The sequence below is a fragment of the Homo sapiens genome, chromosome 11 (assembly GCF_000001405.40).
Source record: "Homo sapiens chromosome 11, GRCh38.p14 Primary Assembly".
Classification (NCBI taxonomy): Eukaryota; Metazoa; Chordata; class Mammalia; order Primates; family Hominidae; genus Homo; species Homo sapiens.
In genome coordinates, this window is record NC_000011.10 from 48826854 (window position 1) to 48848819 (window position 21966).

Sequence of the window (21966 nt, forward strand, 5' to 3'; positions counted from 1 at the left end):
GGAGATTTGGAGAGCTTTGAGGCCTATGATGGAAAAGGAAATATCTTCACACAGAAACAAGACAGAAGCATTCTCAGAAACGTTTCTGTGATGTGTGAATTCACCTCTCATAGTTGAACTTTTGTTTTGATTGAGCAGTTTGAAAACACTCTTTTTGTAGTAACTGCAAATGGATATTTGGAGCGCTTTGAGGCCTATAGCTGAAAAGGAAATGTCTTCACATAAAAACTACGCAGAAACATTCTGAGAAACTTCTTTTTGATGTATGGAATCATGTCACAGATTTAAACCTTTCTTCTGATTGAGCAGCTTTGAAAAACTCTTTTGTAGAATCTGCAAGTGGATACTTGGAGTGCATTAACGCCTATGGTGGAAAAGGAAATATCTTCACATAAAAACTAGGCAGAAGCATTCTCAGAAACTACTGTGTGATGTGTGCATACAACCCTCAGATTTGTACCTTTCTTTTGATTGAGCAGTTTGAAAACAATCTTTTTTTTAATAACTGCAAAGGATATTTGGATCGCTTTGAGGCCTATAGCTGAAAAGGGAATATCTTCACATAAAAACTGGACAGAAGCATTCTGAGAAACTGCTTTGGGACGTGTGCATTCATCTCACGAAGTTGAAACTTTCTTTTGATTGAGCAGTTTGGAAACACTCTTTTTGTGGATTCTGCATGTGGATATTTCCAGCGCTTTGAGTCCTATGGTGGAAAAGGAAATGTCTTCACATAAAAGCTAGACAGAAGAATTCTGAGAAACTTCTTTGTGATGTGTGCATTCGTCTCTCAGAGTTGGACCTTTCTTTTGATTGAACAGTTTTGAAACACTCTTTTTGTAGAATCTGCAAGTGGATATTTGGAGTGCTTTGAGGTCTATGGTGGAAAAAGAAATATCTTCCCATAGAAACTAGACAGAAGCATTCTCAGAAACTTCTTTGTGATGAGTGCATTCAACTCACGGAATTGAAACTTTCTTTTGATTGAACAGTTTGGAAACACTCCTTTTGTAGTAAATGCAAATGGATATTGGGAGTGCTTTGAGACTAATAGCTGAGAGAAAATATCTTCATATAATAACTAGACAGAAGCATTCTGAGAAACTTCTTTGTGATGTGTGCATTCATCTCACAGAGTTGAACCTTTATTTTGATTGACAAGTTTTGAAACACTCTTTTTGTAGAATCTGCAAGTGGATATTTGGAGTGCTTTGAGGACTATGGTGGAAAAGGAAATATCTTCACATAAAAACTAGACAGAAGTATTGTCAGAAAATTCTTTGCATGTGCGCATTCGTCTCAAAGTGTTGAAACTTTCTTTTGATTGAGCTGTTTTGAAACACTCTTTTTGTAGAATTTGCAAGTGTATATTTGGAGTGCTTTGAGGCCTGTGGTGGAAAAGGAAATATCTTCACATTGAAAATAGACAGAAGCATTCTCAGAAACTACTTTGTGATGTGTCCATACAACTCTCAGAGTTGAACCTTACTTTTGATTGAGCAGTTTTGAAATACCTTTTTGTAGTAATTGCAAATGCATATTTGGATGACCTGGAGGCCTATAGGTGAAAAGGAAATACCTTCACATAAATACTAGACAGAAGCATTCTGAGAAACTTCCTTGTAATGTGTGGATTCATCTCACAGTGTTGCACCTTTCTTTTGATTGAGCAGTTTTGAAACACTCTTTTTGTATAGTATGCAAGTGGATATTTGGAGTGCTTTGAGGCCTATGGTGGAAAAGGAAATATCTTCACATAAAAACTAGACAAAATCATTGTCAGAAACTTCTTTGTGATGTGTGTATTCAGCTCTCAGTCTTGAACCTTTCTTTTTATTGAGCAGTTTGGAAACAATCTTTTTGTAATAACAGCAAATGTATATTTAGAGCATTTTGAGGCCTATAGCTGAAAAGGAAATATCTTCATAAAAACTACACAGGAGAATTCTGACAAACTTCTTTGTGATGTGTGCATTCATCTCACAGAGTTGAACCTTTCTTTTCAATGAGAAGTTTTGACACACTCTTGTTGTAGAATCTGCAATGGATATTTGGAGCGCTTTGCGGCCTATGGTGGAAAAGGAAATATCTTCACATAAAAACTAGACAAAATCATTGTCAGAAACTTCTTTGTGATGTGTGCATTTAGCTCTCAGTCTTGAACCTTTCTTTTTATTGAGCAGTTTGGAAACAATCTTTTTGTAATAACAGCAAATGGATATTTAGAGCATTTTGAGGCCTATAGCTGAAAAGGAAATATCTTCATAAAAACTACACAGGAGAATTCTGACAAACTTCTTTGTGATGTGTGCATTCATCTCACAGAGTTGAACCTTTCTTTTCAATGAGAAGTTTTGACACACTCTTGTTGTAGAATCTGCAATGGATATTTGGAGCGCTTTGAGGCCTATGGTGGAAAGGGAAATATCTTCAAAGAAAAACTAGACAGAAGCATTCTCAGAAACTTCTTTGTGATGTGTGCATTCAACTCACAGAATTGAACCTTTCTTTTGATTGAGCTGTTTGGAAACACTCTTTTTATAGTAACTGCAAATGGATATTTGGAGCACTTTAAATCCTATAGCTGAAAAGGAAATATCTTCACATAAAAACTAGACAGAAGCATTCTCAGAAACTTCCTTGTGATGTGTGCATTCAAATCTCGGAGTGGAACCATTCTTTTGGTTGAGCAGTTTGGAAACACTCTTTTTGTAGTAAATGCAAATGGATATTTGGAGTGCTTTGAGGCCTATAGCTGAAAAGCAAATGTCTTCACATAAAAACTACACAGAAACATTCTGAGAAACTTCTTTTTGGTGTGTGGAATCATGTCACAGATTTGAACCTTTCTTTTGATTGAGCAGCTTTGAAAAACTCTTTTTGAAGAATCTGCAAGTGGATGCTTGGAGTGCATTAAGGCCTATGGTGGAAAAGGAAATATCTTCACATAAAAACTAGGCAGAAGCATTCTCAGAAACTACTTTGTGATGTGTGCTTATAACCCTCAGATTTGTGACTTTCTTTTGATTGAGCAGTTTGAAAACAATCTTTTTGTAATAACTACAAAAGGATATTTGGATCGCTTTGAGGCTTATAGCTGAAAAGGAAATAACTTCACATTAAAAACTGGACAGAATCATTCTGAGAAACTGCTTTTTGACGTGTGCCTTCAACTCACAGAGTTGAACCTTTCTTTTCAATGAGAAGTTTTAAAACACTCTTGATGTAGAATCTGCAATGGATATTTGGAGCGCTTTGAGGCCTATGGTGGAAAGGGAATTATCTTCAAAGAAAAACTAGACAGAAGCATTCTCAGAAACTTCTTTGTGATGTGTGCATTCAACTCACAGAATTGAAACTTTCCTTTGATAGAGCAGTTTGGAAACACTCTTTTTATATTAACTGCAAATGGATATTTGGAGTGCTTTGAATCCTATAGCTGAAAAGGAAATATCTTCACATAAAAGCTAGACTGAAGCATTCTCAGAAACTTCTTTGTAATGTGTGCATTGAAATCTTGGAGTGGAACCATTCTTTTGATTGAGCAGTTTGGAAACACTCTTTTTGTAGTAACTGCAATTGGATATATGCAGTGCATTGAGACCTATATCTGAAAAGGAAATATCTTCATATAAAAACTACACAGAAGTATTCTGAGAAACTCTGTTATGTGTGTATTCATCTCACAGAGATAAACAATTGTTTTGATTGAGAAGTTTTGAAACAATCTTCAATTATTTACTTGGTGCACTTTGAGGCCTGTGGTGGAAAAGGAAATATCTTCACATAGAAACTAGAAAGAAGTATTCTCAGAAACGTCTTTGTGATGTGTGCATTCATCTCTCATTGTTGAACTGTTCTTTTGATTGAACAGTTTGGAAACATTCTTTTGTAGTAACTGCAAATGGATATTTGGGGCGCTTTGTGACCAATAGCTGAAAAGGAAATATCCTCAAATAAAAACTAGACAGAAGCATTCTGAGAAACTTCTTTGTGATGTGTGCATTCAACTCACAGAGTTGAACCCTTCTTTTAACAGAGAAGTTTTGAAACACTCTTTTTGTAGGATCTGCAAGTTGATATTTGGAGCGCTTTGAGGCCTATGGTGGAAAAGGAAATATCTTCACATAAAAACTAGACAAAAGCATTCTTAGAAGCCTCTTTGTGATGTGTGCATTCAACTCACAGAGTTGAACATTTCTTTTGAGTGAGCATTTTGGAAACACTCTTTCTGTAGAATCTGCAAGTGGATATTTGGAGTGCTTTGATGCCTACTGTGGAAAAGGAAATATCTTCACATAAAAATTAGACAGAAGCATTCTGAGAAACTACTTTGTGATGTGCGCATTCATCTCATACATTTGAGCCTTTCTATTGATTGAGCAGTTTTGAAACACTCGTTTTGTAGAACCTGCAAGAAGAGATTTGTAGTGCTTTGAGGCCTATGGTAGAAAAGAAAATATCTTCACATAGAAACTAGAGAAAAGCATTCTCAGAATTTTATTTTTTATGTGTGCATTCAACTCTCATAGTTGAACCATTCTTTTGATTGAGCAGCTTGGAAACACTACTTTTCTAGAAACTGCAAATGGATATTTAGGGTGCTTTGAGGACTGTAGCTGAAAAGGAAATCGCTTCATATAAAAACTAGACAGGAGAGTTCTGAGAAACTTCTTTGTGATGTGTGGATTCATCTCACAAATTTGAACCTTTCTTTTGATTGAACAGCTTTGAAACATTGTGTTTGTAGAATCTGCAAGTGGATATTTGGAGTGCTTTGATTCGTATTGTTGGAAAGGAAATATCTTCACATAAAAACTAGATGGAAGCATTCTTAGAAACATCTTTATGATGTGTGCATTCAACTCTCAGAATTGAACCTTTCCTTTGATTGAACAGTTTGGAAACATTCTATTTGTAGTAACTGCAAATGGATATTTGTTGGGCTTTGAGGTCTATAGCTGAAAAGGAAATATCTTTACATAAAAAATAGAAGCGTTCAGAGAAACTACTTTGTAATGTGTGTCTTCATCTCAGAGAGTTGAACATTACTTTGGATTAAACAGTTTTGAAACACTCTTTGTAGAATCTGCAAGTGGATGTTTGAAAGGCTTTGAGGCCTATGGTGGAAAAGGAAATATTTTCACATAAAAACTAGACAGAAGCATTCGTAGAAACTTCTTTGTGATGTGTGCATTCAACTCTCAGAGTTGAACTTTTATTTTCATCGAGCAGTTTGGAAACACTGTTTTTGTAGCAACTGCAAGTGGATATTTGTAGCGCTCTGAGGCCCAAAGTTGTAAAGGAAACATCTTCACATAAAAACTAGACAGAATCTTTCTGAGAAACTTCTTTGTGATGTGTGGATTCATATCACAAGGTTGAAACTTTCTCTTGATTGAGAAGTTTTGAAACAATCTTTTTGTGGAATCTGCAAGTGGATATTTGGAGCGCTTTGAGGCCTACCATGGAAAAGGAAATATCTTCACATAAAAAGTAGACAGAAGCATTCTCAGAGACTTCTTTGTGATGTGTGCTTTCAATTCACAGAGTTGAACCTCCCTTTTGATAGAGGAGTTTTGAAACACTCTTTCTGTAGGATGCAAGTGGATATTTGGAACGCTTTGAGGCCTATGGTGGAAAAGGAAATAACTTCACATAAAAACTAGACAGAAGAATTCCTAGAAACTTCTTTGTGATGTGTGCATTCAACATACAGAGTTGAACCTTTTCTATGATAGAGCAGTTTTGAAACACTGTTTTTGTAGAATCTGCAAGGGGATATTTGGAGTGCTTTGAGGCCTGTGGTGGAAAAGGAAATATCTTCACATAAAAACTACACAGAAGCATTCTCAGAAACTTCTTTGGATGGGTGCATTCAACTCACAGAGTTGAAACTACGTTTTGATAGAGCAGCTTTCAAACACTTTTTTTGTGGAATCTGCAAGTGGATATTTGAAATGTTTTGAGGCCTATGGTGGAAAAGGAAGTATCTTCACATAAAAACTACACGGAAACTTTCTCAGAAAATTATTTGTGATACGTGCATTCAATTCACAGAGTTGAACATTTCTTTTGATAGAGGAGTTTTGAAACACTCTTTTTGTAAAATCTGCAAGTGGATATCTAGAGTGCTTTGAGGCCTACGGTGTAAAAAGAAATTTCTTCACATAAAAACTAGACAGAAGCATTCTCAGAAACAACTTTGTGATGTGTGCATTCAACTCAAAGAGTTGAACCTTCCTTTTGATAGAGAAGTTTTGAAACACCGTTTTTGGAGAATCTGCAAGTGGTTATTTGGAATGCTTTGAGACCTGTGGTGGAAAAGGAAATATCTTCAAATAAAAACTAGACTGAAGCATTCTTAGAGATATTTTGAGTGCTTTGAGGCCTATGGTGGAAAAGGAATTATCTTCACATAAAAACTAGATGGAAGCATTCTCAGAAACTACTTTGTGATGTCTGCATTCAACTCACAGAGTGGAACCTTCCTTTTGATAGAGCAGTTTTGAAATACTATTTTTGGAGAATCTGCAGGTGGGTATTTGGAGAGCTTTGAGGCCTATGGTGAAAAACGAGATATCTTCACATCAAAACTAGACAGAAGCATTCTCAGAGACTACTTTGTGATGGGTGCATTAAACTCACAGAGTTGACCCTTTCTTTTGAGAGAGCAGTTTTGAAACACTCCTTTTGTAGAATCTGCAAGTGGATATTTGGAGCGCTTTGATGCCTATGGTGGAAAAGGAAATATCTTCACAAAAAAACTAGACAGAAGCATTCTCAGAGATATTTGGACCGCTTTGAGGCCTACGGTGGAAAAGGAAATATCTTCACTCATAAACTTGACAGAAGCATTGCCAGAAACATGTTTTGGATGTGTGCATTCAACTCTCAGAGTTGAACTTTCTTTTGATAGGGCAGTTTAGAAACACTCTTTTTGTAGAATCTGCAAGTGGATATTTGGAATGCTTTTAGTCCTATGCTGGAAAAGGATATATCTTCACATAAAAACTAGAGAGAAGCATTCTCAGAAACTTCCTTGTGATGTGTCCATTCAACTCACAGAGTTGAATCTTTGTTTTGATACAGCAGCTTTGAAACTCTCTTTCTGTGGAATCTGCAAGCGGATATTTGGAGGGCTTTGAGGCCTAGGGTGGAAAAGGAAATATCTTCACAGAAAAACTAGACAGAAGCATTCTCAGAGATATTTGGAGCGCTTTCAGACCAATGATGGAAAGGAAATATCTTCACATATAAACTAGACAGAAGCATTCTCAGAAACATCTTTGAAATGTGTGATTTCAACTCACAGGGTTGAACCTTCCTTTTGATAGAGCAGTTTTGAAACACTCATTTTGTAGAATCCACAAGTGGATATTTGGAAGGCTTTGAGGCCCACGGTGGGAAAGGAAATATCTTCAGATGAAAACTAGACAGAAGCACTCTCATAAACTTCTTTGTGATATGTGCATTGAACTCTCAGAGTTGAACATTCCTTATGATATCGCAGTTTTGAAACACTATTTTTGTAGAATCTGCAACTGGATATTTGGAGAGCTTTAAGGGCTATGATAGAAAAGGAAATATCTTCACCGAAAAACTAGACAGAAGCATTCTCAGAAACTTCTTTGTTATGTGTGCATTCAACTCAGAGGGTTGAGCCTTCCTTTTGATAGAGCAGTTTTGAAACACTCTTTTTGTAGAATCTGCAAGTGGATATTTGGAAACTTTGAGTCCTGTGGTGGAATAGGGTATATCTTCACATAAAAACAAGACAGAAGCATTCTCAGACACTTTCTTGTGATGTGTCCATTCAACTCACAGAGTTGAACCTTTCTTTTGACAGAGCAGTTTTGAAACACACTTTTTGTAGCATCTGCAAGTGGATAATTGGAGCGCTTTGAGGCCAACGGTGGAAAAGGAAATATCTTCACAGAAAAATTAGACAGAAGCATTCTCAGAGATATTTGGAGAGCTTTGAGGCCTACGGTGGAAAAGAAATATCTTCACACATAAACTTGACAGAAGCATTGTCAGAAACTCCTTTTGGGTGTGTGGATTCAACTCACACAGTTGAACCTTTCTTTTGATAGAGCAGTTTTGAAACACCCTTTTTGTAGAATTAGCAAGTGCATATTTGGAGGAATTTGAGGGCTACGGTGGAAAAGGAAATATCTTCACATAAGAACTAGACAGAAGCATTCTCAGAGATATTTGGAGCACTTTGAGGCCTACGGTGGAAAAGGAAATATGTTCACATAGAAACTACACAGTAGCAATCTCTGAAACATCTTGTAATGGTTGCAATCAACTCACACGTTTGAACCTTCCTTTTGATAGAGCAGTTTTGAAACACTCTTTTTGTAAAATGTGCAAGTGGATATTTGGAACGCTTTGAGACCTATGGTGGAAAAGGAAATATCTTCACATAAAAACTAGACAGAATCATTCTTAGAAACTACTATGTGATGTGTGCATTCAACTGACAGAGTTGAACCTTCCTTTTGACAGAGCAGTTTTGAAACACTCTTTTAGTAGAATCTGAAAGGGGATGTTTGGAATGCTTTGCGGCCTATGGTGGAAAAGGAAACATCTCCACATAAAAACTAGACAGAAGCATTATCAGAAACTTCTTTGTGATGTGTGCATTCAACTCACAGAGTTCACATTCCTTTTGATAGAGCAGTTTTTATACACTCCTTTTGCAGAATGTGTAAGTAGATATTTGGAACAATTTGAGACCTATGGTGGAAAAGGAAATATGTTCTCATAAAAACTAGACAGAAGCATTCTCAGAAACTACTTTATGATGTGTACGTTCAACTCACAGAGTTGAACCTTTCTATTGTTAGATCAGTTTTGAAACACCCTTTATGTAGAATCTGCAAGTGGATATTTGGAGCGCTTTGAGGCTTATGGTGGAAAAGGAAATATCTTCACATAAAAACTAGACAGAAGCATTCTCAGAGATATGTGAAGCGTTTTGAGGCCTACGGTGGAAAAGGGAATATCTTCACATAGAAACTAGACAGAAGCAATATAACAAACTTCTTTGTGATGTGTGCAATCAACTCACAGGTTTGAACATTCCTCTTGACAGAGCAGTTTTGAAACACTCTCTTTGCAGAATGTGCAACTGGATATTTGGAATGCTTTGAGGCCTACGATGGAAAAGGAAATATCTTCACAGAAAAACTGGACAGATGCATTCTCAGAAACTTCTTTGCGATTTGTGCATTAAACTCACAGAGTTGAACCCTTGCTTTGGCAGAGCAGTTTTGAAACCCTCTTTTTGTAGTATCTGCAAGTGGATATTTGGAGGGCTTTGAGGACTAGAGTGGAAAAGTAAATATCTTCACATAAAGACTAGACAGAAGCATTCTCAGAAACTTCTTTGTGATGTGTGCATTAAAATCACAGATTTGAACCTTCCTTCAGATAGAGACGTTTTGAAACACTCCTTTTGTAGGATCTGCAAGTGGTTATTGGGAGCAGTTTGAGGCCTACGGTGGAAAAGTAAATATCTTCAAATAAAAACTAGACAGAAAAATTCTGAGAAACTTCTTTGTGATGTGCGCATTCAAATCACAGAGTTGAGCCTTTCTTTTGATAGAGCAGTTTTGAAACACTCTTTTTGTAGAATCAGCAAGTGGATATTTGTAGAGCTTTGAGGCCTATGGTGGAAAAGGACATATCTTCACATAAAAACTAGCAGAAGCATTCTCAGAAACCTCTTTGTGATGTGCGCATTCAAATCACAGAGTTGAACCTTTCTTTTGTTTGAATGGTTTTGAAGCACTTTTTTGGAGAATCTGCAAGTGGATATTTGGAGTGCTTTGATGCCTACTGTGGAAAAGGAAATACCTTCACATAAAAAAGAGACAGAGCCATTCTCAGAAACATCTTGGAGATGTGTGAATTCAACTCACAGAGTTGAACTTTCCTTTTGATAGATCAGATTTGAAACACTTTTTTTGTAAAATCTGCAAGTCGATATTTGGAGCGCTCTGAGGCCTAGGGGGGAAAAGGAAATATCTTCACATAAAAACTAGGCAGAAGCATTCTCAGAAACTTCTTTGTGATGCTTCCATTCAACTCACATAGTTGAACGTTCCTTTTGATAGAGCAGTTTTGAAAAACTCTTTTTGCAGAATCTTCAAGTGGATATTTGGAGCTCTTTGAGGCCTTCAGTGGAACGGGAACATCTTCACATAAAAACTAGCCAGAAGTTTTCTCAGAGACTTCTTTGTGATGTGTGCATTCAACTCAGAGAGTTGAACCTTCCTTTTTGTAGAGCAGTTTTGAAACATTCTTTTTGTAGAATCTGCAAGTAGATATTTGGAGCACTTTGAAGACTATGGTAGAAAAGGAAGTATCTTCATATAAAAACTAGACAGCAGCATTCTCAGAAACTACTTTGTGATGTGTGCATTCAACACACAGAGTTGAACCTTTCTTTTGATAGAGCAGTTTTGAAACACTCTTTTTGTATAATCTGCAAGAGGATGTTTGGAGCGCTTTGAGGCCTACAGTGGAAACAGCACTTCTTCACATAAAAACTAGACAGAAGCCTTCTCAGAAACTTCTTTGTGATGTGTGCATTCAACTCAGAGAGTTGAACATTCCTTTTGGTAGAGCAGTTTTGGAACAGTCTTTTGTAGAATCGGCAAGTGGATATTTGGAGCGCTTTGAGGCCTATGGTGGAAACAGGAATATCTTTACATAAAAACTAGACAGAGGCATTCTCAGAAACTTTTTTATGATGTGTGCATTCAACTCAGAGTGGTAAAACTTCCTTTTGGTAGAGCAGATTTGAAAAATTCTTTTTGTGGAATCTGCAAGTGGATATTTGGAGCACTTTGAGGACTATGGTAGAAAAGGAAGTATCCTCATATAAAAACTAGACAGAAACATTATCAGAAACTACATTGTGATGTGTGCATTCAAGACACAGAGTAGAACCTTCCTTTTGACAGAGCAGTTTTGAAACACTCTTTTTGTAGAATCTGCAAGTGGATGTTTGAAACGCTTTGAGGCCTGCAGTGGAAACGGTATGTCTTCACATAAAAACTAGACAGAAGCATTCTCAGAAACTTCTTCGTTATGTGTGCATTCAACTCAGAGAGTTGAACCTTCCTCTTGGTAGAGCAGTTTTGAAACACTCTTTCTGTGGAATCTGCAAGTGGATATTTGGTGCGCTTTGAGGACCATGGTAGAAAAGAAAGTATCTTTATATAAAAACTAGACAGAAGAATTCTCAGAAACTACTTTGTGATGTGTGCATTCAACTCACAGAAGTGATCCTTTCTTTTGATAGAGCAGTTTTGAAACACTCTTTTTGTAGAATGTGCAAGTAGACACTTGGCTCACTTTGAGGCCAATGGTGGAAGAGGAAATATCTTCACATAAAAGCTAAATAGAAGCATTCTCAGAAACTAGTTCGAGATGTGTGCATTCAACTCACAGAGTTAAACATTGCTTTAGACAGTGCAGTTTTGAAACACTCTTTTTGTAGAATCTGCAAATGTATATTTGGAGCACTTTGAGGCCTTCGGTGGAAACGGGAACACCTTCACATAAAAACTAGTCAAAAGGATTCTCAGAAACTTCCTTGTGATGTGTGCATTCAACTAAAAGAGTTGAACTTCCTTTTCATAGAGCAGTTTTGAAATTCTTATTTGTAGAATCTGCAATCGGATATTTGGACCACTTTGAGATCTACAGTGGAAACGGGAATATCTTCACAGAAAAACTAGACAAAAGCGTTCTCAGACGCAACTTTGTGATGTGTGAATTCAACTCAGAGAGTTGAAGCATCCTTTTGACAGAGTACTTTTGAAGCACTCTTTTTGTAGAAACTGCAAGTGGATATTTGGATCACTTTGAGGCCCAAGTTTGAAAAGGAAATATCTTCATATCAAAACTAGACAGAAGCATTCTCAGAAAAGACTTTGTGATGTTTGCATTCAACTCACAGAGTTGAACATTCCTTTTAATTGAGCACTTTTGAGACACTCTCTTTGTAGAACCTGCAAGTGGATATTTGGAGCGCATGGAGGCCTATGGTGGAAAAGGAAATATCTTCACTTAAAAACTAGACAGAAGCATTCTTGGAAACTTCTTTGTGATGTGTGCATTCAACTCACAGAGTTGAACCTTCCTTTTGATAGATCAGTTTAGCAACACTCTTTTTGTAGAATCTGCAAGTGGATATTTGAGTGCTGTGTGGCCTATAGGGGAAATGGGAACATCTTCACATATAAACTAGACAGAACCATTCTCAGAAACTTCTTTGTGACGTGTTCATTCAACTGACAGAGTTGAACCTTTCTTTTGATAGAGCAGGTTTGAAACACTCTTCTTGAAGAATCTGCAGGTAGATTTTGTGGCCTATGGTAGGTAAGGAAATATCTTCATATAAAAATTAGACAGAAGCATTCTCAGAAATTTCTCTGTGATGTGTGTATTCAACTCACAGAGTTGAACTTTCCTTTTGATAGAGCAGTTTTGAAACCCTCTTTTTGTAGAATCTGCAAGGGGACATTTTGAGTGCTTTGTGGCCTACAGTGGAAACGGGAATATCTTTCATAAAAAAACTAGACAGAAGTATTCTAGGAAACTTCTTTGTGATGTATGCTTTCAATACAAAGGGATGAACCTTCCTTTTGACAGAGCAGTTTTGAAACACTCTTTTTGTAGAATCTGCAAGTGGACATTTGGAGCGATTTGAGGCCAATGGTGGAAAAGGAAATATCTTCATGTAAAAATTAGACAGAAGCATTCTCAGAAACTTCTTTTTGATGTGTGCATTCAAATTACAGAGTTTAAACTTTCTTTTGATAAAGTAGTTTTAAACACTCTTTTTGTAGAATCTGTAAGTGGACATTCGGAGCACTTTGAAGTCTTCGTTGGAAATGGGAATATCTTCACAAAAAACTAGAAAGAAGAATTTTCTGTAACTTCTTTGTGATGTCTGCATTCAACTCACAGAGTTGAACATTTCTTTTGATAGAGCAGTTTTGAAACACTCTTTTTGGAGAATCTGCAAGTGGATATTTGGAGCGCTTTGAGTCCTCTGGTGGAAAAGGAAATATCTTCACATAAAAACTAGACAGAAGTATTCTCAGAAACTGCTTTGTGATGTGTGCATTCAACTCACAGATTTGAACCTTCCTTCTGATAGAGCAGTTTTGAAACACTCTTTTTGTAAAATCTGCAAGTGGATTTTGGAGCGCTTTGAGGCCTTCAGGGGAAACGGGAATATCTTCACATATAAACTAAGCAGAAGCATTCTCAGAAACTTCTTGTGTAGTGTGCTTTCAACTCACAGAGCTGAATTTTCCTTTTGTAACAGCAGTTTTGAAACACTCTTTTTGTAGAATCTGCCAGTGGATATTTACAGCGCTTTGAGGCCTATGGTAGAAATGGAAATATCTTCATATAAAAACTAGACAGAAGATTTCTCAGAAACTACTTTGTGATGTGTGCATTCAACTCACAGAGTTGAACCTTCCTTTTGACAGAGCAGTTTTGAAACACTCTTTTTGTAGAATCTGCAAGTCAATGTTTGGACTGCTTTGAGGCCTTCATTGGGAATGGGATTATGTTCACAAAAAACTAGACAGAAGCATTCTTAGAAACTACTTTGTGATGTGTGCATTCAACTCACAGAGTTGAACCTTTATATTGATATGGAAGTTTTGAAACACTCTTTTTGTAGGATCTGCAAGTGGATATTTGGAGCGCTTTGTAGCCTATGGTGGAAAAGGAAGTATCTTCACATAAAAACCAGACAGAAACATTCTAACAAACTTCTTTGTGATGTGTGCATTCAACTCAGAGTTGAACCTTTCGTTTGATAGAACAGTTTTGAAACACCCTTTTTCTAGATTCTGCAAGTGTATATTTGGAGCCCTTTAAGGCCAATGCTGGTAAAGGATATATCTTCATATGAAAACCAGACAGAAGCATTCTCAAAAACTTCTTTGTGATGTGTGCATTCAACTCACAGTGTTGAACGTTTCTTTTAATAGGGCAGTTTGGAAACACTCTTTTTGTGGAATCTGCAAGAGGATATTTGGAGCACTTTGAGGCCTATGGTAGAAAAGCAAATATCTTTGTATAAAAAATAGATAGAAGCATTCTCAGGGACTAACTTGTGATGTGTGCATTAAACTCACAGAGGTGAACCTTCCTTTTGATGGAGTAGTTTTCAAACACTCTATTCGTAGAATCTGCAAGTGGGTATTTGGAACGCTTTGAGGCCTACCGTGGGAAAGGAAATATCTTCACATAAAAACTAGACAGAAGCATTATCAGAAACTTCTTTGTGATGTGTGCATTCAACTCACAGAGTTCACATTCTTTTTGATAGAGCAGTTTTGAAACACTCTTTTTTTAGAATGTGCAAGTGTACATTTTTTGCGCTTTGAAGCCTACGGTGGAAACGGGAATATCTTCACATATAAAGTAGACAGAATCATTCTCAGAAAGTTCTTTGTGATGTATGGATTCAACTCACAGAGTTGAACCTGTCTTTTGATAGAGCAGTTTTGAAACTCTCTTTTTGTAGAATCTGCAAGGGGATATTTGGAGCGCTTTGAGGACTATGGTGGAAAAGCAAGTATTTTCACATAAAAATGAGACAGAAGCATCCTCAGAAACTTCTTTGGGACGATTGCATTCAACTCACAGATTTGAAGATACTTTTTCATAGAGCAGTTCTGAAACGCTCTTTTTGTAGAATCTGCAAGTGGATATTTGCACCACTTTGGGGCCTTCCTTTGAAACGGGAATATCTTCACATAAAAACTAGACAGAAGTATTCTCAGAAACTTCTTTGTGACATGTGCATTCAACACACAGAGTTGAACCTTCCTTTTGATAGAGCAGTTTTGAAACACTCTTTTTGTAGAATCTGCAAGTGGATATTTGAAGAGCTTTAAGGCCTACGGTTGAAACGGGAATATCTTCACATAAAAACTAGACAGAAGCATACTGAGAAACGTCTTTGTGATGTGTGCATTCAACTCACAGATTTGAACCTTTCTTTTGACAGAGCCGCTTTGAAACACTCTTTTTGTAGAATCTGCAAGTGGATATTTGGAGCGATTTGAGGCCTTCAGTGGTAAAGGAAATATCTTCACATTAAAACTAGATAGAAGCATTCTTAGAAACTTCTTTGTGATATGTGAATTCAGTTCACAGAGTTCAGCCTGTCTTTTGATAGAGCAGTTTTGAAACACTTTTTCTGGAATCTGCAAGTGGAAATTTGGAGTGCTTTGAGGCCTTCGGTGGAAAAGGAAATATCTTCACATAAAAACTAGATAGAAGCACTCTCAGAATCTTCTTTGGGATATGTGCATTCAACTCCAAGAGGTGAACCTGTGTTTTGATAGAGCTGTCTTGAAACACTCTTTTTGTAGAATCTGCAAGTGGACATTTGGAGTGCTTTAAGGGCTATGGTGGAAAAGGAAATATCTTCACATAAGATAAGCTTCTTTGTGATGATTGCATTCAACTCACAGAGCTGAACAGACCTTTTCATAGAACAGTTTTGGAACACTCTTTTCGTAGAATCTGCAAGTGGATATTGGGGCTGCTTTGAGGCCTTCATTGAAAACGGGAATATCTTCACATGAAAACTAGACAGAAGCATTCTCAGGAACTTCTTTGATATGTTTGCATTCAGTTCGCAGAGTTGAAGCTTCCTTTTTATAGAAGAGTTTTGAAACACTAATTTAGTAGGGTCTGCAGTTGACATTTGGTCCGCTTTTTGGCCTACGGTTGAAACGGGCATATCTTCATATAGAAACTATTCAGAGGCATTCTCAGAAACTTCTTTGTGATGTGTGCATTCAACTCACAGAGTTGAACCTTTCTTTTGTTAGAGCAGTTTTGAAACACTCACAGAAACTTCTTTGTGACGATTGCATTCAAATCACAGAGCTGAACATACCTTTTCATAGAGCAGTTTTGGAAAACTCTTTTCATAGAATCTTCAAGTGGATATTGGGACTGCTTTGAGGACTTCATTGAAAACGGGAATATCTTAAAATAAAAACTAGACAGAAGCTTTGTCAGAAACTTCTTTGTGATGTGTGCATTCAACTCACAGAGTTGAACCTTTCTTTTAATACAGCAGTTTTGAAACACTCTTTTTGTAAAATCTGCAAGTGGATATTTGGACTGCTTTGAGGCCTTCATTGGAAACGGGAATATCTACACCTAAAAAGTAGACAGAAGCATTTTCAGACACTTCTTTGTGATGTTTGCATTCAACTCACGAAGTTGAACATACCTTTTCATAGAGCAGTTTTGAAACACTCTTTTTAGAGAATCTGCAATTGACATTTGGACTGCTTTGAGGCCTTCATTGGAAACTGGAATAGCTTCACATAAAAAGTAGAGAGAAGCATTCTCAGAAACTTCTTTGTGATGTGTGCATTGAACTCACATAGCTGAACCTTTCTTTTGACAGAGCACTTTTCAAACACTCTTTTTGTAGAATCTGCAAGTGGATATTTGGAGTGCTTCGAGGCCTTCATTGGAAAAGGTAATATCTTCACATAGAAAGGGGACAGAAGCATTCTCAGGAAGTTCTTTGTGATGTGTGCATTAAACTCACTGATTTGAACCTTCTTTTTGATAGAGTAGTTTTGAAACACTCTTTTTGTAGAATCTGCAAGTGGATATTTGGATCGCTTTGAGGCCTATGGTGGAAACGGGAATATCTTCACATTAATCTAGACAGAACCATTCTCAGAAACTTCTTTGAAATGTGTGCATTCAACTCAGAGAGTTGAACCTTCCCTTTGAGAGATCACTTTGAAAGACTCTTTTTGTAGAATCTGGAAGTGGATATACAGAGCGATTTGAAGCCTTAGTTGCAAACGGGAATATCTTCACATAAAAAGTAGAGAGAAGCATTCTCAGAAACTTCTTTGTGATGTGTGCATTCAACTCACAGAGTTGAACCTTCCTTTTGATAGAGCAGTTTTGAAACACTCTTTTCTATGATCTGCAAGTGTACAGTTGGAGCACTTGGAGTCTGACGGTTGAAACCGGAATTTCTTCACATAAAAACTAGACAGAAGTATTCTCAGAAACTTTTTTGTGATGTGTTCGTTCAACTCACAGATTTTCACCTTTCTTTTGAAAGATAGAGCAATTTTGAAACACTCTATTTGTAGAATCTGCAATTGGATATTTTTAGCGCTTTGAGCCCTTCGGTGGAAAAGGTAATATCTTCACATAGAAACGGGACAGAAGCATTCTCAGGAAGTTCTTTGTGATGTGTGCATTAAACTCACTGATTTGAACCTTCCTTTTGATAGAGTAGTTTTGAAACACTCTTTTTGTAGAATCTGCAAGTGGATTTTTGGATCACTTTGAGGCCGATGGTGGAAACGGGAATATCTTCACATAAATCTAGACAGAACCATTCTCAGAAACTTCTTTGTAATGTGTGCATTCAACTCAGAGAGTTGAACCTTCCCTTTGAGAGATAAGTTTTGAAAAACTCTTTTTGTAGAATCTGGAAGTGGATATACGGAGCGATTTGAAGCCTTAGTTGCAAACGGGAATATCTTCACATAAAAATTAGATAGAAGCATTCTCAGAAACTACTTTGTGATGTGTGCATTCAACTCACAGAGTTGAACCTTCCTTTTGATAGAGCGGTTTTGAAACAGTCTTTTTGTAGAATGTGCAAGGGGATATTTGGAGAGCTTTGAGACCTATGGTAGAAAAGGAAATATCTTCATATAAGGACTAGAGAGAAGCATTCTCAGAAACTACTTTGTGATGTTTGCATTCATCTCACAGATTTGAACCTTTCTTTTTATAGAGCAGTTTTGAAACACTCTTTTTGTTGAATCTGCAAGTGGAGATTAGGAGCGCTTTAAGGGCACTGGTGGAAAAGAAAATGTCTTCACAAAAAAAAACTAGACAGAAGCATTCTCAGAAACTCCTTTGTGATGTTTGCATTTAGCTCACAGATTTGAACATACCTTTTCATAGAGCAGTTTTGAAACTCTCTTTTTGTAGAATCCGCTAGTGAATATTTGGACCGCTTTGAGGCCTTCATTGGAAATAGGGAAATCTTCACATAAAAACTAGACAGAAGCATTCTCAGAAACTTCTTTTTGATGTGTGCATTCATCTCAGAGAGTTGAACCTTCTTTTTCATAGAGCAGTTTTGAAAGATTCTTTTTGTAGCATCTGCAATTGGATATTTGGAGTGCTTTGAAGCCGTCGTTGGAAACGGGAATTTCTTCACATAAACTAGACAGAAGCATTCTCAGAAACTTCTTTGTGATGTGTCCATTTAACTCACAAAGTTGAACTTTCCTTTTGATAGAGCAGTTTTGAAACACTCTTTTTGTAGAATCTGCAAGTGGACATTTGGAGCGCTTAGAGGCCTATGGCAGAAAAGGAAATATCTTCATATAAAAACTAGACAGTAGCATAGTCAGAAACTACTTTTTGATGTGTGCATTCAACTCACAGAGTTGAACTTTCCTTTTGATAGAGCAGTTTTGAAGCAATCTTTTTGTAGAATCAGCAAGTGGACATTTGGAGTGCTTTGAGACCTTCGGTGGAAAAGGAAATATGTTCACATAAAAACTAGACAGAAGCATTCTCAGAAACTTCTTTGTGATGCGTGCATTCAACTCACAGAGTTGAACGTGTCTTTTGATAGAGCAGTTTTGAAACACTCTTTTTGTAGAATCTGCAACTGGATATTTGGATTGCTTTGAGGCCTTCGTTGGTAACGGGGATATCTTCGTGTAAAAAACAGGCAGAAGCATTCTCAGAAACTTCTTTATGAAGTGTGCATTCAACTCACAGAGTTGAAACTTCCTTTTGATAGAGTAGTTTTGAAAAACTCTTTTTGTAGAATCTGCAACTGGATATTTGGATTGCTTTGAGGCCTTCGTTGGTAACGGGGATATCTTCACATAAAAAACAGGCAGAAGCATTCTCAGAAACTTCTTTATGAAGTGTGCATTCAACTCACAGAGTTGAAACTTCCTTTTGATAGAGTGGTTTTGAAAAACTCTTTTTGTAGAATCTGCAAGTGGATATTTAGTCTGCTTTGAGGTCTTCGTTGGAAACGGGAATAACTTCATATAAAAACTAGACAGAAGCATTCTTAGAAACTTCTTTGTGATGTGTGTATTCAACTCACAGAGTTGAAACTTCCTTTTGATAGAACAGTTATGAAACACTCTTTTTGTAAAATCTGCAAGTAGATATTTGGAGGGCTTTGAGGCCTACGGTTGAAAGAGGAATATCTTCCCATAAAAAATAGACAGAAGAATTCTTAGAAACTTCTTGGTGATGTGTGCATTGAACACACAGAGTTGAACTTTTCTTTTGATAGAGCAGTTTTGAAATACTCTTTTTGTGGAATCTGCAAGTGGATATTTGTGCTGCTCTGAGGCCTTCGTTGGAAACGGGGATATCTTCACATAAAAACTAGAATGAATCTTTCTCAGAAACTTCTTTTTGATATGTGCATTCAACGAACAGAGCTGAACCTGTCTTTTGATAGAGAAGTTTTGAAACACCCTTTTTGTAGAATATGCAAGTGGACATTTGAAGCGCTCTGAGGGCTATGGTGGAAAAGGAAGTATCTTCACCTAAAAACTAGACAGAAGCATTCTCAGAAACTTCTTTGTGATGATTGCATTCAATTCACAGAGTTGAACATACCTTTTCATAGAGCAGTTTTGAAACATTCTTTTTGTAGAATCAGCAAGTGGATATTTGGAGCGCTTTGAGGCCTACGGTTGAAAACGGAATATCTTCACATTAAAACTAGATAGAAGCATTCTCAGAAACTTCTTTGGGATGCGTTCATTCAAATCACAGAGTTGAACGTTTCTTTTGATAGAGAAGTTTGAAAGACTCTTTTTGTAGAATCTGCAAGTGGATATTTGGACTGCTTTCAGGCCTTCATTGGAAATGGGAATATCTTTACGTAAAAACTAGACAGAAGCATTCTCAGAAACTTCGTTGTGATGTGAGCATTTAACTCAGAGAGTTGAACCTTCCTTTTGATAGTGCAGTTTTGAAACACTCTTTTTGTAGAATCTGCAAATGGATATTTGGAATGCTTTGAGGACTACGGTGGAAACGGGAATATCTTCACATAAAAACTAAACAGAAACACTGTCAGAAACTTCTTTGTGATGTGTGCATTCAACTCACAGAGTTGAACTTTTCTTTTGATAGAGCAGTTTTGAAACACTGTTTTTGTATAATCTGCAAGTGGACATTTGGAGCGCTTTGAGGCCTTCGGTGGAAAAGGAAATATCTTCACATAAAAACTAGACAGAAGCATTCTCAGAAACTTCTTCCTGATGTGTGCGTTAAAATCACAGAGTTGAACCTGTCTTTTGATAGAGCAGTTTTGAAGAACCCTTTTTTTTTTATACTTTAAGTTTTAGGGTACATGTGCACATTGTGCAGGTTAGTTACATATGTATACATGTGCCATGCTGGTGCGCTGCACCCACTAACTCGTCATCTAGCATTAGGTGTATCCCCCGATGCTATCCCTCCCCCCTCCCCCCACGCCACAACAGTCCCCAGAGTGTGATATTCCCCTTCCTGTGTCCATGTGATCTCATTGTTCAGTTCCCACCTATGAGTGAGAATATGTGGTGTTTGGTTTTTTGTTCTTGCGATAGTTTACTGAGAATGATGATTTCCAATTTCATTCATGTCCCTACAAAGGACATGAACTCATCACTTTTTAGGGCTGCATAGTATTCCATGGTGTATATGTGCCACATTTTCTTTTTTTTTTTTAATTTTTTTTATTTTTAATTTTTTTTTTTATTATACTCTAAGTTTTAGGGTACATGTGCACATTGTGCAGGTTAGTTACATATGTATACATGTGCCATGCTGGTGCGCTGCACCCACTAACGTGTCATCTAGGATTAGGTATATCTCCCAATGCTATCCCTCCCCCCTCCCCCGACCCCACCACAGTCCCCAGAGTGTGATATTCCCCTTCCTGTGTCCATGTGATCTCATTGTTCAATTCCCACCTATGAGTGAGAATATGCGGTGTTTGGTTTTTTGTTCTTGCGATAGTTTACTGAGAATGATGGTTTCCAATTTCATCCATGTCCCTACAAAGGACATGAACTCATAATTTTTTATGGCTGCATAGTATTCCATGGTGTATATGTGCCACATTTTCTTAATCCAGTCTATCATTGTTGGACATTTGGGTTGGTTCCAAGTCTTTGCTATTGTGAATAGTGCCGCAATAAACATACGTGTGCATGTGTCTTTATAGCAGCATGATTTATAGTCCTTTGGGTATATACCCAGTAATGGGATGGCTGGGTCAAATGGTATTTCTAGTTCTAGATCCCTGAGGAATCGCCACACTGACTTCCACAATGGTTGAACTAGTTTACAGTCCCACCAACAGTGTAAAAGTGTTCCTATTTCTCCACATCCTCTCCAGCACCTGTTGTTTCCTGACTTTTTAATGATTGCCATTCTAACTGGTGTGAGATGATATCTCATAGTGGTTTTGATTTGCATTTCTCTGATGGCCAGTGATGATGAGCATTTTTTCATGTGTTTTTTGGCTGCATAAATGTCTTCTTTTGAGAAGTGTCTGTTCATGTCCTTCGCCCACTTTTTGATGGGGTTGTTTGTTTTTTTCTTGTAAATTTGTTTGAGTTCATTGTAGATTCTGGATATTAGCCCTTTGTCAGATGAGTAGGTTGCGAAAATTTTCTCCCATGTTGTAGGTTGCCTGTTCACTCTGATGGTAGTTTCTTTTGCTGTGCAGAAGCTCTTTAGTTTAATTAGATCCCATTTGTCAATTTTGGCTTTTGTTGCCATTGCTTTTGGTGTTTTAGACATGAAGTCCTTGCCCACATCTATGTCCTGAATGGTAATGCCTAGGTTTTCTTCCAGGGTTTTTAT

General features: G+C 37.2%; 3 annotated features.

Annotated features, from left to right (window-relative positions):
• Positions 1003-1543: an enhancer, noted in NCBI's record as "OCT4-NANOG hESC enhancer chr11:48849408-48849948 (GRCh37/hg19 assembly coordinates)". NCBI's record gives its function as "activates a minimal SCP1, AML or CMV promoter by ChIP-STARR-seq in primed H9 embryonic stem cells {active_cell/tissue: H9 hESC(primed)}" and the evidence as "EXISTENCE:reporter gene assay evidence [ECO:0000049][PMID:30033119]".
• Positions 10180-10681: an enhancer, noted in NCBI's record as "NANOG hESC enhancer chr11:48858585-48859086 (GRCh37/hg19 assembly coordinates)". NCBI's record gives its function as "activates a minimal SCP1, AML or CMV promoter by ChIP-STARR-seq in naive H9 embryonic stem cells {active_cell/tissue: H9 hESC(naive)}" and the evidence as "EXISTENCE:reporter gene assay evidence [ECO:0000049][PMID:30033119]".
• Positions 18036-18674: an enhancer, noted in NCBI's record as "OCT4-NANOG hESC enhancer chr11:48866441-48867079 (GRCh37/hg19 assembly coordinates)". NCBI's record gives its function as "activates a minimal SCP1, AML or CMV promoter by ChIP-STARR-seq in naive H9 embryonic stem cells {active_cell/tissue: H9 hESC(naive)}" and the evidence as "EXISTENCE:reporter gene assay evidence [ECO:0000049][PMID:30033119]".